Genomic DNA, 17,980 nt, shown 5'->3' on the forward strand with positions numbered 1-17,980 from the left:
GAGCTTCAGCAGGTCACCTGGCAGAACTGTCTTTCATGAAAAGGTGAAGCAAGGAGCAGATCACACCAAGATTTAAGTACTAATTTTCTCCCATTACTGGTGGCTTCAATAATGTTTTTATCCCTCTGTTACTGGAACAAATGATGAGCTTTGAGTTTCCAGGAGGGGAAAGAGCAGCATTAACTTAGAAGCACATCATTTCTTCCTTCTCATGGAAGAGAGTTTTCATCTGTGAAAAGCTGACTCACTCATGTGAAACTCAGAGCTGAAAACTTGAATTACAGTTATACCAGAATCATTGCCTTATATTCCTTCTCTCCCTTCTCCCCTCCCTCCCTTCATCCCTCCCTTCCCTCCCCCTCCCTCCCTCTCTCCCTTCCTCCCTTCCTCCCTTTCTTCCTTCCTTCCTTTATTCTTTCTCCACTTCCTTCTTTGCTTTTTGCTCACCCCTTTCTTCTTTGCTATATCTCTTTTTATCTTTCCTTTCTTCTGTCAACATTTTGAAGCTAAATGACATTCATCTCCAAACTGGTCTTCCTATCCACACAATATCATAATAGACATAGTACCTATGCCATACATTAAATGTCATATTGAATGAGGCTGGGGCACGTAGGTTTCCGTACATGGTCATCAGCCCCTCTGGCCCAGAGTGATTTCTTGACAATAGTTTATTAATTACTCAATTCAGTCACATGGACAATATAACTAAATTGAGAGATCACTAATACTTGTTACCTGATAAATTTAGGTAAGTACTCTGTAACTAATTGGTTAGTAGATAGTTAAAAACTTCCAAGTTTGTTTAGAATGAATGGTAAAACTGGTTCTGTATATGTTGCATAAGCCTTTCTGCCTCTTGCCCCTGAGATAGCCCCATTTCCTGATGATCTACATTCAAACAAGTTCATATTTATTTTCACTCCAGAAATAAATTTTGGTCAAGAATTTAAAGGGAGATTTGAGGGGTTTATTCAAAGTTTCACTCTGAAGCCACAGAAAACAATATAGCCCCATGGATCGCAAGTTAAATATCGAAAGGAATAGACATCATATATAATTTTTCATTTATTAACTAAAATATAAATCAAATGTAGAAGTTAACAAATATCTAAGTAAATTATAATTTTCATCTCTATTATTAGCAGTTAATGCACCTAGGTATAGGGTAGGCTCTGACAGTTGGAGTTAATAGTTACTGATATTTTTTATTATTTATTTACAAGGAAGTAAAAGGGAAACATTTTTAGAACTAATATGTGATTCTGGGTTTTTTATTTTTATGGATAATTCAAAGTAAAAATGCTCGTTATTGAATCTCAATGAAAGGTTTTTTTTTTTTTGACACAGGGTCTCACTCTGTCACACAGGCTGGAGTGCAATGGCATTTTCACAATTCTGCGCAGCCTTGAACTCCTGGGCTCAAGTGATCCTTCCACTTCAGCCTTCCCAGCAGCTAAGACTACTTCCCAGCGGCTGAGACTATAGGCACACAACACCATGACTGGATTTATGTATATGTGTGTGTGTGTGTGTGTGTATATATACATATATATATATGTATGTATATATATGTATATATACACACACACACATATATATACACACACACACACATATATACACACACACACACATATATATATATACACATACACACACACACACACACACACACAGACACACACACATACATATATAGGCAAGATCCCACTATGTTGCCCAGGCTGGCTGCAAACTCCTGGGCTCAAGCAATCTCTCTTTCTGGCCTTGGCCTCCCAAAGTGCTGGGATTACAGGTGTGATCCAGCATGCCCAGCCAATAAAAATATTTTCAGAATTACCACCAAACAGTTTTATTGGTACTCTCCAATTTAGGGCATCCCATTATTGAGATTAGGTGAATTGGTCAGGCTCACCCAGTTGATTTTAAATATTTCTTTTAGGATTAGCTGTGAAATCTAACAGAGCTGGGTGTGAGTCTTCATGCCACCACTATGCACTATAAGATATTGGGCAGGTTACTTAACCTTTTTATGCTTCTATAAAATGGGACTTTCACCCACTTAATGCAGGTGTTATGAGGATGTAAGTAGCTTAAGGTAATGCCTGCCACAGAGTAAGTATTAGATTAATATTATTATTAGTAACGGTAGTATTCTTATTATTAAATAGAGAAATGGGACTAGGTGTTCCTCAAGATCTCTTTCAGTTTTAAAATGCTATGAATTCATGTTCCAGACAAAACTGACTTAAGATTTGAGAAAATTGTAATAAGACCATCTGTTGGCAAGAATTAGCCAACTCCAGGTAGATTTAACTTATACATTTCTTTATCATTGACCTTTGGAGAGGTATCAAGCTTTCAAGCCATTGTTCAAAACCAATTTCAAATATTACCATTGACTGCTACATCAGAAACATGTTTCCTATTAAAATAAAATATAGCCCATTTTTAAAAAATTGCCCTTAAGCAAATATCCAGGCTTTTAAAAATTAATTCTATTTCCAAAGTTATGCTTATACCATTAAGATTCCAGTTTGACTTAATGATATTGGCATAAACTTGTATACTCTTTACTAAGGTACAGCCCTTGACTTCCCTCTAGTACTTGTAAGAGCCTCGTTGGGAACATCAACTGAAACATTCCAGGGGAAGAGAAAAAATGAAATAAAACACAACCTGCCCGCCCCACCTGCCTCACCCACCATACACACTTATTGGATGTTCAAATCTCATACAGAAAAGCCCTTTGATTTCCTTTTAACCACAATCAGAACAACCTCAGACCAGCTTTCCCGACATCCATGTGCAATGTTGCTGAGCTGCTTACAACTTTACTTTAGGACTCTAACAAAGTCTTGGCAACTTGCTCTTGGAGTTTCTCAAAGCCACAGCAGTTCTTTCTCGCTTTTAATGAAATTCCTTTCTATTTCTCCAGGTATGACTCCCCTTGGACCAGCAAGGCATATTTTCTCCTTGAGTTAGGACAGCTTATGACAAATAATGATGGGGAATCAATAGACAGGAGGGAAATATTGGGTGAGAGGCTGAATGAATCTCTGAGATAAATTATTGACCATAGGCATGGCCAGTTCTCCTTTCACTTATATGTTCGTATTCCATCTCACTAACAACCTGAAAGAAAATCAAATATTTTGTTTGGGGGCTTCACTAATATCAGCAACTTTTACTATCTTAATGGCATTTTTATTGATCTCAGCTTTAATGGGAGCTGTATATATTTGATGTTGGTCATTTAAAGTAGAGGTGAGTAATAGACTTCCCCACTGAGGATCATAAAGCAGCTCCTTGTCTGGCAAGCACGGGAAGCAAATAGAAGACAGCATTTAATCTACTGTTCTACTGCAGTTATCAGGGGCTGAGATAAAAAAAAATTAAAATGTAAAGGTTGGCAATTCCCCACCCCCAGGCTTCTCACCCCCTCCTGTGTCCTATCCCCCTTCACCCCTCCCCATGCTGACTCCTGGGCACACTGGTCATCAGCAGACTAACAACAAAAGGCCATTGGTGCAATGACCTTGGCTGTGGCATCACGCACTGGAAGAAAGAAATGAAGCCATTAGACTGAGGCAGGAGAACAGGTTATAAATCAAGCCATTTCCAATAAGCTGCCGTAATGGCCATCCATCATTGCCAGCCCAGCACACAGCAGACCATGGAGACACTGGAGCTGCTAAAGCTGAGACATAAACAATAATAATCCGGGCTTGATGTTTCAGCCCTTCAGGAAATTTAGGGACATTTGCTTTTCTTTTGTTTGTCAGAGGTGATATTTAAAGCATAAGATGTAATAAATAGAGGATAGGTGACACACTGGTACAGTTTAGAAGCACTGCATTCTGGGTGGGATTAAAGGGAAAATCAAAAGCTAAATTCCAAAAATAGTCACTGCTTCTGGGATAAAACAAAATAAAAAGCAGACCCCCAACCAGAGAAACAAACTAAACATCACAATTTTCATGGAATGACGCTTAGATGTTTTTGGAATAGGTCAACAGGTCTCATTGCTTGGAGAATTATATCAATAGTGGATGGTGATTTTGTTTGTATAAGAAAGAAAGAAAATGGGACAAGTGGTTCAAATTTGCATTTGTAACCAGGTTACAAGTGGTTAACTGGAATTAGATATGTAAAGGCTGTGTCTTTTAATAATATCCTATTGCTCGCTTCTAGGGTGTGATTCACCATGGTGTGTGACCTTATGGCAAATATTTCAAAACAATGTTGTTAACATCTTAACTGCACTTGAGATTGTTTACTGGGGCTTTGGGGGGAAAAGATGCCAGGCAAAGAACTAGCTGTTCTTGTATGTCTTTTTTTTTTTTTCTGAAAGTCTTTAAAATGATTTCCTCAGGTTATTAGGATTTTATTTCAAAGCTCTGCCCATCAGAGATCACTATCCAGCATATCTTTCCAGATTTCTCATTTCTATTCCACAATGCTCACCCATCTCTATATCTTGATTTGATTATGCAACATATCCAGGCCATCTTTTTTACATTATATGATATTTTCCACTACAAATAATAATGCCAGTTTTCAGAAATATATTTCAGATCATTAAAAGCAACTAACAGGGTTGGATGGTCTTAAAATTTACAAGATAACCCTTATGGATTATGATGCTGTTTCAAACCACTCCGTAATGTAGTGGAGTGAACTTGTCTTGTACTAAAAGCCAACAGCAATTAAACTAAGCATAACCGAGAGACATGTTGCAACAACAACAGAATGTTCAAAGAGCAATTCTTTGAAATGTATGAAGGGATTCTAACTTTCCTTTCAAATTGGTCATTGCACTTTTAAAGCTCCGTATGTATGCAAGTCTTACAGGGTATTTGTGCCATAGTTATGATGCAAATACTAGAAGAAGGTTAAATAAAGTCCAATTAAACAGTGTAGTAATTGAGGTGAAAATCTATGATTTATGGAAATTGCCGTGCTTCTCAACAGAAAGAAATCAGTCACAACCAGGTAAGGAGATTTAGTCCCATTTACTTTCTTTTTACCCTAAACTTAAGATTCATAAAAGAGGAAAATGTAAACTTAGATTCTTATACATTGGTGAACTACTACTCTCAGAATGTTTTAATTATATTTTCAGAACAGAGTGAGGTAAGGTGATATGCCCTACAACAAATCAATGCAGGCAATAACCATTTTTCTTGCTGGCTGAAAAATAGGACTGCCAATTACAAGTTTGGGAACTGATTAAAATAGCTGAAGAAGCTGAAGACTCTTAATCAGACACATTTAGGGACATGATAAATTTTGATTCCAGGTAAGCCTGGAACATTTATCCAAAATGAATCCATCTGTTCTGACATTTTTTTTTTCTTTTTAGAGACAAATTCTCATTCTGTTTCCCAGGCTAGAGTGCAGGGGCAGGATCATAGTCACTGCAGCCTCAACCATCTGGGTTCAAAGGATCTTCCCACCTCAGTAGCTGGGACTACAGGTGTGGGCCACCACACCTGGTGTTTTCTGACAATTTTTTTTTTTTTTTTTTTTTTTGAGATGGAGTCTCACTCTGTCACCCAGGCTTGAGTGCAGTGACGAGATCTTGGCTCACAGCAAGCTCCGCCTTCCGGGTTCACACCATTCTCCTGCCTCAGCCTCTGGAGTAGCTGGGACTACAGGCACCCACCACCATGCCCAGCTGATCTTTTTTGTATTTTTAGTAGAGACGGGGTTTCACCGTGTTAGCCAGGATGGTCTCGATCTCCTGACCTCATGATCCGCCCGCCTTGTCCTCCCAAAGTGCTGGGATTATAGGCATGAGCCACCACACCTGACCCTTTTCTGACAATTTTTAAGAAAATATTTTAAAATGCCTTTTGGCTTCTCTGGTACAAAGACAGGATCTATCTAACTACTAGTGAGGGGAAATTAGGATGGATTTTTCTTTCATTTTTTTTGTGTGTTATCCTATCAAATTTGCACCCTCAGCTAAATGGGGGAAGAATTGGGTTTGTCACAGACTTTTCAAGAAAGCGTAAATTTTTAATGATTTGTCTAAATATTCCTATAATTAAGCATCCGAAGATGTTTTAATACGAATGTAATAGATTTGTTTTCTCATGAGCTGCTATTTAAATAGTCACTTATAATAAATATTTATAAGTGTTTATAAATAAAATATTAATTGCCTGAAATGATATTTTAATGCAGTGCTAACAATCAATGAAATATGCCGTAGCATGAGCCTGTCTCACAAAATGTTTTGGAGGTTCTGACTCTACACTGGCACCACCATGGTTGCCTAAGGGACAGGCATAGCTGTGGGGGTGTTTCCAGGGCTGCTCTTGGACAGAGACAAACCTCTCCAGATGTTAGGATTGTTAGAAATGCCAAGCCACACTCATAGGTGGGAATTGAACAATGAGAACACTTGGACACAGGGCGGGGAACATCACACACCAGGGCCTGTCGTGGGGTGAGGGGGTAGGGAAGGGATAGCAAAGTATAATTAAAAAAGAAAAAAAAAGGAAATGCCAAGGCACAAACAACTCAACGATCTCCCTCCTCTTCCTTCTGCACAAAATCTCTAACAAAAATGGTACCATCTAGACTATTACCTGTGCTTTGCACAGTGGAAGATTTCATTTTATCCTCTCAGGCACTTGTTCCAAAGCCCCAGTCTCTTTTTTGCCTCTAGCCCTCTAATTGTGAAACCTTTCAGAAAGAGAAGGACAGAGAACTGAGTGTTATCCAGGTTGCTCACAGCTTGTGCAACTTGTTCTGTGCCAAGGCCAAATTGGATTATGAAATGTTAAATAGATAAGGAGACAGGAAGAAAAGATTGTAAACAGTCTCTACTCAGTTTTGATCTGGATAAGAAAGAAGAAGAAAAATTAATGGTAGCCTTTTGAAATTTCTTTTTAGATTGTTTGTCTACTACTCTCCTACCCAGGAGCAAACAGAGTCTCTGTGGGCCTCCGTACCTCCATCTGTGAACTATGAAAATAAATGTATGCTATTTACATATTTTTAGGGACGCTAATGAGAGCAACAGTTTATTTTTATTTATTCATTAATTGATTCAATTCATAAACTTTCACCATCTGCTACAAAGACTCAATTAACTAATTGTTATATCCCAGTTTGCATGTATAATATTTTATAGAAATGCTAAAATGATAGAGGCAGCAGAGTATAAGAGCAAGGTTAGATTTTTTTTGGAAGAGTGTATCACACTTTCACCATGCACTTATCTTCAAGGAAATTTGAATATTGTGAATCTTCTGTGTTATGTAAAGGAAAGTGCACCCAGTGGGCAATGACAGACTTTGTTTATTGGCTTAGCTTTAGTGTGTAGCATCTGGTGCTCTGAATGAATGTTCTACTACATTTGAGCCTCAGTTTCTACATTTATAAAATGAAGAAGCTGGATGAGATGTTGTTAATGATAAGAATGCTAATAATACTTTACATTTATTTACTTTTTTTTTTTTTACCATTTAAATAGTTCTTGCTGTTACGGCATCAAACTTGATTCTTTAAAATGCTATCTTAAAGATGACAATTGAAGGTACAGGCATGCCTTGGAGTTTGATGGTACAGGCACACCTTGCAGGTTTGATTTCAGACCACCACTATAAAGCAAATATTGTAATAAAGGTATATTATGCATATATACATATATGCATTTTAGATATATATAAAAAGTGCATATACCTTAATTTAAAAATACTTAATTGCTAAAAAATGCTAATGACCATCTGACCCTTCAGACAGTCATAAACTTTTTTCTGGTGGAGGGTTTTGTTTTATTATACATAGCTGTGAACCTAGGTGGTGGTGGCTGAAGGCTTGGGTGGCTGTGGCAACTTCTTAAAATAAGAGAACAATTAAGTTTTCTACATCAATTGACTTTTCCTTTCACAAAATACTTCTCTGTTAAATGCAATGCTGTTTGATAGTACTTACCCCCAGTCAAACTTCTTTCAAAATTGGAGTCAATCCTCTCAAACTCTGCTATTGCTTTATCAACTAAGTGTATGTAATATTCTAAAGTTTTATTGCAATTTGAACAATGTTGACAGCATCTTCACCAGGAGTCAATTCAATCCCATGAAATAATTTTCTTTGCTCGTCCATAAGAAGCAATTTTAAATCCATTTAAGTTTTACCATGAGATTGCAGCAATTCAGCCACATCTTCAGGCGTCATTGCTAAATCTCTTGCTATTTCCACGTCTGCGGTAACTTCCTCCACTGACATCTTGAACCCCTCAAAGTCATCCACAAGAGTTGGAATCAACTTCTCCCAAACTCCTGCTAATGTTCATATTTTGATATCCTCCCATGAATCAATCATGGATGTTCTTAATGACATCTAGGATGGTGAATTCTTTCCAGAAACTTTTTAATTGACTTTGCTCAGATCCACCAAAGGAATCACTATTGCGGCTATAGCCTTCCAAAATGTATTTTCTAAATAATAAGACTTGAAAGTTAAAATTACTCCTTGATCCGTGGGCTGCAGAATGGTGTTGTGTTAGCAGGCATGAAAACAACATTCACCTCCTGGTACATCTCCATCAGAGCTCTTGGGTGACCAGATGCATTGTCAGTGAACAGTACTCTTTTGAAAGGAATCTTTCTTTCTAAGCAGTAGGTCTCAACAGTGAGCTTAAAATATTCAATAAACCATGCTGTAAAGAGATGTACTGGTATCCAGGCTTTGTTGTTCCATTTTTAAAAACAATGTACTCTGTACAGGCAGAGTAAATTGAGCATAATTCTTAAGCAACTTAGGATGTTCAGAATGGTAAATGAGCATTGCCTTTGACTGAAACTCACTAGCTGCATAAGCTCCTAACAAGAGTCAGCTTGTCCTTTGAAGCTTTAAAGCCAGGCATTGACTTCTCCTCTCTGGTTATGAAACTCTTAGATGGCATCATCTTCCACTAGAAGGTTGTTTTGTCTACATTGAAAATCTGTTGTTTAGTGTACCCACCTCCATCAGTGGCTATAGCTAGATCTTGATAACTTGCTGCAGCTTCTCCATCAGCACTTGTTTCTCCACCTTGCACTTTAATGTTATGGAGATGGCTTCTTTCCTTAAACCTCATGAGCCAACATCTGTTTGCTTCAAACTTTTCTTCTGCAGCTTCCTCACCTCTCACGGCCTTCATAGAATTGAAGAGAATTAGGGCCTTGGTCTGGATTAGGATGTGGGCTGGTTTGATCTTCTATACAGACCACTAAAATTTTCTCCATGTTAGCAATAAGGCTGTTTCACTTTCTTATGTGTTCACTGAAGTAATACTTAGTTTCCTTCATGAACTCTTCCTTTGCATTCACAACTTGGATAAATGGCACAAGAGGCCTAGATTCAGGCCTATCTCAGCTTTCAGCATGTCTTCCTCACTAAGCTTTATCATTTCTAGCATTTGATTTGAAATGAGAGATATCTAACTCTTCCTTTCACTTGAATACACGCAGGCCATCATACAGTTATTAATTGGCTTAATTTCAATATTCTTGTGTCTCAGGGTATAGGGAGGGCCAAGGAGAGGGACAGAGACAGGGGAATGGCTAGTTGGTGGAGCAATCAGAACACACATCACTGATCAGTTAAGTTCGGCATCTTATATGAGTGTGGTTCATGGCACTCCAAAGCAATTACAATAGTAACGTCAAAGATCACTACTCACAGATCACAATAACAGATGTAATAATAATGAAAAAGTTTGGCATATTGTGAGAATTACCAAAATGGGACACAGAAGCACAAAGTGAGCCAAGCTGTTGGAAAAATGGCAGCAGCGGACTTGCCGACGCAGGGGAGCCTCAAACCTTCAATCTGTAAAAAATGCAATACCTGTGAAGTACGATAAAGCGAAGTGCAAGATAACAAGGTATGCCTGTAGGTGTTGTAGACCCTAGTTTGACAAATGAAGATAATGAGGCTCAGAATAATCAAAGATTTCCATGTGCTTTTATACCACCAGCCGGTGACAGGCCAAATATTTAAATCTATGTGTCCTTTTTTTTTTTTTTTTTTTTACTTTTAGGTAGCATTGTTTTTGTAATTATAAAGTATGTTCTTAATCCATGTTTTCTGAGAAGACGGTTTCCAAAAACTATTTCACCCCAAAATTTCTCAATTTCTGTCATTTCTAATGGGCTTTTTTGTTCTTTAACCATTTCTGTGGCAGAGTGCTCTGAATGGATTTCCTGCTTCTGCTGATCATTGAAAGCTTTCTCTTTTGCACACTAAACATGGCAGCATTTGTTGTTAGGGATGCAATTCAGCTGACAATATACATCTCTGAGAAAGACAATGGAGAAAGGTAGAAATGTGCTGTGTTAATTTAACATTAGCAGTGTTATAGTTGAGAATACTGGCATTTGAGTGCATAAAAATGTTTCTGGCTATCGCTAAACCTTATTATTTACAATTCATTACTTATGAGTTGAGTCCTGGTATTCAATGTGCACTCTGCCAATTGCATTGTATCAAATTTCATAAAAGAAGGCAGTAAACATACAGATACCTGTTGCACAGTCCCCTAGAAACCAATCCTCTGTGTAGTGCTCTATGAAATTCTGTTTTGATTAGGTTGTTACATCTGGGACAGAACTGCAAATAGCGTTTGGCGGAGGAAAAATGTGGTCCTGTATAATGCTAAGATTAAAGTCTGTCCAATAATACAAGCATGTCAGCCGGGACAGGTCCTGTATTTATAGTGGAAAGGCCACTGAGTGAGGATTCATCACACAAGTTCAAGGGAGGTAGTGTCAATTACTTTGGGGCCTTTTGTGATAACACTGGATGGACCACTGAGAAAGCGCCATATTTAATCTATTTCCTGCTTAAGCGGACAAAGAACTAGTAAATACAATAGGAAATAATCCCATCCGGGCAGAAGGCAGAGAGGAAGAAGATGGGCAAAAATGACCTCATGTTGTAGATCCTCCACACTTCTAATTTTTACGACCCTATGATGTGAGAATCTAATTAATAAGGTGACTTCTCTGAGTATTTCATGCTCTGTGCCTTACGTAACTCTTTCACATGGCAAGTTATATGACTTCAACTGCCATGCAGATAAATAAGGTAAGCAATGAGGGAATAAATGTAATGGGTTCATGAATTAATGGTTTTGAGCAGGGGCACATTCTCAGTGATGGACCATGTTCTGATGTCTTATGTATTTGCTATCCTAGAGCAGAATGACTTCTCCAATTAATTAGTCTCTTGATCAAGCACTGTCTGGTTGTATGGGTATGTGAGAAAGCAAATAAAAAGCTGTGTGTAAAATAATCACACACTGAAAGGAGATTCGCTATATTTGGTACTTATACACCATGCATGAGGAACTTTGTAACAGGTCAGATTATCCATCAGATTTACAGATCTAATAAGCATAAGTGACAGATCCTGCATGTGACCACAGGTGGGAACAGCTGGTGGGTACTTGCCAAAATGCAATACATTTAACCAGCTGCCAGTGGAGCTTGCCAAAGCAGGGTCACCATGGAGCAGCTGGTCTTCTGGGTATGAAGCTAAAAATCTGTCACTAGTACTTCCCAATTGTCACTTGCTAGCTAACCTTCCAGCAGGACCTTACTTAACAGGATAGGCAGTGTGGTGGCGGGGAGGAAAGTTCAAATTATTCTCAAGCATCACCATGTCCAGGAAATGTCTTTGGTCAACAAGAGGGCTGTTACTCCAACTGTGGCAGTGCACTTGATTGAGGCACCATGATCACCAACAGCATCAAGCTGTTTTTTCCTAATTGCGGTTCCTTTTACAAGGATCTATTACTAGGGAAACTTCAGAGGTGATGGTCTTCTTAAACAAGAGAATCTGGAGACCTCCAAAGACGATAATCATGGCTCTTTGACAAGAGTTGGATTTTCTAGGGTTAGATAATTAGCTTACACCTTGATATAATGTGGCATTAAGTATAAAATCTGTTTGCTGTACATTACAAAGTACATTACAAAGCACATCCATTACACAATTCACATCCCAACCATCTTACCACCTCCTCCTGCTTTCAGTTTTCACTCCTGCAACTCCATAGTATCGTTTTCTCAGCCCAATTTGACCCAAATGATAATTTAAATACAGATTTGTATACTATAATTAATAACATGTCTTGCTTTCTAGTGATATAATGACCAATACACATTATGTCACATGTCATATAACACATCCTTTGTTTCTTTTTGACTTAAATGGAGTTTCCTTCTACTCCAACAGGAATTTACATAAATTATTCTAATCAGGTGTCTTTTATAACCAATTACCTCTAATGGAATATAATACAGGAGCAGAGAGCTGACAATCTCTCTATGCCAACTGTACTTAAAATAGAACCGTGGTGTCCTTTGTCCCAGTGTGAATTTTTCTTAATTTCTGTGAAGCCATTGTGTCAGAAGTTTTCATAGGACTAACATAATAATAATAATAGGTTCTGTATTCATTTTTAACTGGCACACCTCTATCTTTTTGCATATTCTGCTCCCTCTGCCTGGATTACAGAATGTGCTGTCCTTACCTGAGACCAGACAAACTAAAAAACTTCATTTCCTGCTACTCCTCCATACATTGGGCAAGAGTTACTCAGGGTTCCTCCAACACTGCAGCAGATAGTAATTGTCCCTTATAATACATACTTTCCTTCCTCCTTTCCATAATAAAATCCCTTGAGTTTTAACTGGCTGTGGTGGCCCACTTAGCAACTATATTTCTCAGCCTTCAATAAAATTTGGTGTGATTAATTCAGCAAACGGGATGTGAATGGAAGTGATGTGAACAGTTTCTCAGATGTGCCATTTCAATAAAAAATCACCTATGTTTTACTTCTCTGTCTCCCTAACTGTGGGCTGGGTCAGAGCCCTAGAGCTGGTGATTGCTGGCAAATAGCAAGCAAAGAAAGATGGAATCTGAACCCCTGATGACCTCACAGAGCAGAAATCTCTACTGGCTTCAGACTGCCCACCTACTTCTGGACAGAGAAAGAAATATATTGCTATCTTGTTTGAATTACCCCAATGTTGTCTCTTCATCAAAACAGCTTAACTTTATTCCGTAGCTAATGTATACCTTCCTTCCTTCTTCCTGTGGCCACTTATGGCCACAACTTTGTTCCTGCCATTTTCTCTTCTTGAAATGTTGTTAAATATCTAGTGAATAACTACTTCTGCTTGTAGGCACTGATCATGTTATACCCTTTTCAAACTTCATTGACTATTTGTCAGTGACAAATAATGTCATTGATTTCTGATAGAACCCAGATCCTGGAGAAATAGGTACAGAGCTAAGTTGTCCCTGCTAAATCCTCTAGTGAAATAATAGCCATGGAAGTGTTGGAGATCTCAAGGGTATAAGATTAGGTTGGAGGACGTTTGGGACCTTCAAGGGTTAGGGTGTCCCAGCCATAGCTGGAGATTGGACTTACTCCTGAGAAGATTGTTAGTTGGTGAAGAGAAACAGTAGTCCTGATGGACTTGAAAGTTCCCTGCATAGATTTAATGATAGTGAGGGATTTCCATTCCAGGTCTCTGGACTCCTTGCCTGCATCTGGAGACTTTATAGCTAAAAGTCCTCAATATTTTCCCTTCAGGACTTCAAACTCAACTCTTTTTTTCACCCATTCAATCCAAGATTCTCTGAACTATAGAAGACGGCAAGTCCAAAACTGTCAAATAAATTAGGGTGTCACAAAACAGGACTGATCTTTCCAATTAGAGATCCTCCTTTATTCTATTTATTAGCCAAAGGAAGGCATCAGGAAATTTCGTAACCCAAATGACAATCTCCCATTGCGCAAGACACATCTAGAATCAGGCTTCAATTTGTCTAACCTTTTTGATCAAAATGAGTTTTTATTTAGCCCGACTATTTAGCTTAATGGAAAAAGGAGGCTCTCTGGATTTGGTTCAGGAGCCTGGGATTCGTCAGTTGTGAGAAGGCATCTGAATCACTAGCACACTGAGGCCATGGGATAACTTCTTATTCTTCTAAAGAAGAGTGCAGAGGGCTCAGCAAGAGGGCTGGAGAGCCTGAAGAACTCTTGGGAAGTGTTTTCTCATGCCAGAGGGCCTTGGCTTCAGATTCAGACAGTCAGCTTTTCTGCTTGGCAGAAATCAGGTCCGTGGTTACCTGGAAACTAATTGCTCTTTTTTTTTTTTTTCTTCCATCTACTGGGCAGTCTTCTCAATGCAATAAATCGTATTTTTAGTTCCTGAAATCCTCAGCAATCTTACGAAGTGGGTACTGTTATCAACCCCATTTTATAGATAAGAAAACCGAAGGACAGGGATGTTTTATAAAAACCTGCCCAAAAAGAAGTATAGAGATAGTAAGGAGTAGGCATAGGATTTCAACGCAAGAAGTCGATCCCAAGTATATGCTATTAGCATCTGCACTGCAGTTACCAAGGTCATTTTCTGTGACTAGGCTCAAAAGTGGGTCTGTTGGAACAATAAAGAGACATGCCAAGAGGGAAGCCAGGTCCCAAGTTGTGCTTCAAGGATGACATCCAACGCTGTAATTTCCCAGGAGCTTATTGATCTGGTTTTCGGAGTTTTAAAGGAAGGACATAATGGCACCCATGAACCGTGAGGTTCTTTGTGAATCACTGTCTGTAGTTGTCTTCTTGGTTTACTTGCTTGCTTTCTCTTCAACAGCCTTCTGTCTCATTTCTTGAGTGACCAAGTGGATCAAATCAATACGAGTATCACCTTCCTAACTGGACTCTCTCACTTTCACTCACAAACCACTCCCATCTTTCTTGTGCTGCCAGAGTGACACCTTCTAACACACTCTGATTAGGTCATCCCACTCCTGAAAATGTTTCCATGGACTTCAAGCCTTTATATTTCAAACTCCTTGGCTTGGCACACCAGGGCCATCACAATTAGAATCCACTTAGTTTTCTAGGCTCATCTCCGATAGGTCCCCACTTTCCCTCCCATGCCACACTCCCACCTTCATCCTTATACTTCAACTAAACTAAAGCACTCTCAGCCAGACATGCTGTGAATATCTCCAGAAGCACCACAGATTAGTCCACTGCTTGCAACTTGCATATACATCCTTTCCCCACTCCCATTCCCCAACATCTTTTATGAAGCTATTACTCACATTTTAACATCAGTTCGAATATTACCAGTTCTCTTTCTTTAGAGCCATCATGACCAACTGGTTCACCTGCTCCTCCCCTAAAGTCCGATCACTCCCCATGAAAAGGACAGACCCTGGAATAAGACTATAAGGTTTCAATACCATAATTAAGAAGTATATAAGCATTATGAACTTGGGCAAAAATGTTAGATTAAGTGCATAAGACAGGGCTACTGAAGAGATTTTTTGTGTCGAATTCTTGCGAACAGTAAATGTTACAGAACATGAAAGGCACTGAGCTTGGTGCCAAGCATACAGCAAGCACTTGAGAAGTGCTAGCTGTTATGAGCGTCATCCTCATCATCCTATTCATCTCACTGTTGGGTGATTGCTTGTCTTCTTGTGCTTGTCTTCTTCTCTACATGTGTATTTGTTGAGGATACTATCTGTGTAATTGGATTTTATATCCCTAGCACCTGGCACAGTGCCTACCACATAACAGGTGCTCAATAAACACTTATTGAATGAATTATAACTCAATTATCTGCCATCTGGTTTGTCCGAAGCCACATATATTAGTATCTAGCCTACTGCTCCATCATTCCGTCATCCCATCTTCCTTTACATTTAGGGAAAAAGGAGTTTATTTTGCATTTCCTCCTGGACTCAGGTTACATAGGAATGCTGCTCTGTTCTCACTGCCTGATTACATTGGGTTTCAGAGAATTTGGCTGCTGGGAACCCCCTAGAAATTCAGGACTGCTGTTTTTCCCCAAAGTGATGCTGCTGGTACTCTGCTAGCCTCAAAGCGAGTGTGACCTGTGGAAGCCACAATTTCCTTCCCTGTCTTATCTTAATAGCAGGAACATTCCATCTATTAACTCCCTAAGATGTCAGTAACACACCCTATTATAGAAAATAAATTTTCAATAACAAAGGGAGCTTATTTCACAGCATGAAGGATAACAGCAGATATTACTATTCCTGAAGTTAATTCTCTGTTTTCTCATTACTGGCCATTTCTCCTAGGAATCAGCTGTCTGACACACTGCAATGTTGCTGCGGCTGCTCACCTTTATTTCCGACTCTTCTCATTTCTCCAGGACCACAGAACCCCGCCTCTTTTCTCTTATGCTTTACAGAAAAACATTCCCCAGTTCCTATTTATTTGCTATGCAGAGTCTTTCATAACCAAAACAACCATTAACATGCTTTCCTAAATAAAAGAGCAGTCTCTGCTCAAAATCTCACCTTTGGTAACACAAAGAATCAAAACAAGCTTTGGAATTACATTAAGGGATTTGAATATCTAACAACAAATAGTCTATCAATCTCTCTAAATGGAAGAGAAAGCAGAAAAGCTGACTGTCTGAGTATGAAGCCACAGCTCTCTGGCTTTGTGCAGAGCAAACTCCATGGGCAGATTTTTTTGCTCCTCTCCTCCTCTCCTCCCCTCCCCTCCCTCTTCCCTACCCTCCTCTCCTCTCCCCTCCCCTCCTCTCCTCTCCTCTTCTCTCCTCTCCTCTCCTCTCCTGTCCTCTCCTCTCCTACCCTCTCCTACCCTCCCCTCCCTCTTGCCCTCCCCTCCCCTCTCCCTTCTCTCCTTTCCTCTCCTCTCCTCTTTTTATTTTTCTGTGAAGAAGTATTAAATAGAATAGAGAGTAAAAATTGTGAAAGGGATTGCCTTTCTGATCTTATTTGACTGTTGTCGGTGTATAGGAATATAAGTTATTTCTGTACATTGATTTTGTATCTTGCAACTTTGCTGAATTGTTTATCAGCTGGAGGAGCTTTTCAGCCAAGACTATGGGGTTTTCTAGATATGGAATCATGTCATCTGCAAACACAGATAGTTTAACTTCATCTCTTCCTATTTGGATGCCCTTTATTTCTTTCTCTTGCCTGATTGCTCTGGCTAGGACTTCCAGTATTATGTTGAATAGAAGTGGTGGAGAGAGGACAACCTTGTCTTGTGCCAGTTTTCATTGGGAATGTTTCCAGCTTTTGCCCATTCAGTAGAATGTTGGCTGTGGGTTTTTCATAGATGGCTTTTACTCTTTTGAGGTATGTTCCTTTAGTAACTAGTTACCGAGAGTTCTTAACACGAAGGGGTATTGACTTTTTTCAAAAAATTTTTGGCAACTATTTAAATAATCCTGTGGTTTTTGTCTTTAGTTCTGTTTATGTGATGAATCACATTTATTGATTTGCGTATGTTGAACCAATCTTGCAACCCAGGGATGAAGCCTACTTGATCATGGTGGATTAGCTTTTTGGTGTGCTGCTGGATTCAGTTGGCAAGTTGTTTTTTTTGTTTGTTTGTTTTTTTGAGGATTTTTGCATCAATATTCATCAAGAATATTGGCCTGAAGTTTTCTTTTTTTCTTGTGTCTCTGCCAGGTTTTGGTATCAAGATGATAAAATACCTAGGAATACAGCTAATCAGGGAGATGAAAGATCTCTACAATGAGAATTATAAAACACTGCTCAAAGAAATCGGACATGACACAAACAAATGGAAAGACATCTCATGCTCATGAATAGGAAGTATCTATATCATTAAAATGGCTATACTGCCCAAAGCAATTAATAGATTCAATGCTACTCCTATCAAACTAGCAAGGACATCCTTCACAGAACTATAAAAATATTTTAAAATTCACATGAAACCAAAAAAGAGCCCAAATAGCCAAGGCAATTTTAAGCAAAAAGAACAAAGCTGGAGGCACCACATTACCTGGCTTCAAACTATACTGCAAGCCTGCAGTAACCAAAACAGCATGGTTCTGGTACAAAAACAGGCACTCAGATCAGTGGAACAGAATAGAGAGCCCAGAAATAAGGCTGTACATCTACGATCATCTGATCT

General features: G+C 38.9%; 2 annotated features.

The window, feature by feature from the left end:
- Window positions 2,589-4,322: an enhancer, noted in NCBI's record as "HHc2:066522". NCBI's record gives its function as "enhancer in midbrain/hindbrain boundary" and the evidence as "EXISTENCE:transgenic organism evidence [ECO:0001131][PMID:22448256]".
- Window positions 2,772-4,055: an enhancer, noted in NCBI's record as "VISTA enhancer hs831". NCBI's record gives its function as "enhancer in: hindbrain (rhombencephalon)[7/7] | other[7/7]" and the evidence as "EXISTENCE:transgenic organism evidence [ECO:0001131][PMID:17130149]".

The sequence above is a fragment of the Homo sapiens genome, chromosome 2 (assembly GCF_000001405.40).
Source record: "Homo sapiens chromosome 2, GRCh38.p14 Primary Assembly".
NCBI classification, from domain to species: domain Eukaryota; kingdom Metazoa; phylum Chordata; class Mammalia; order Primates; family Hominidae; genus Homo; species Homo sapiens.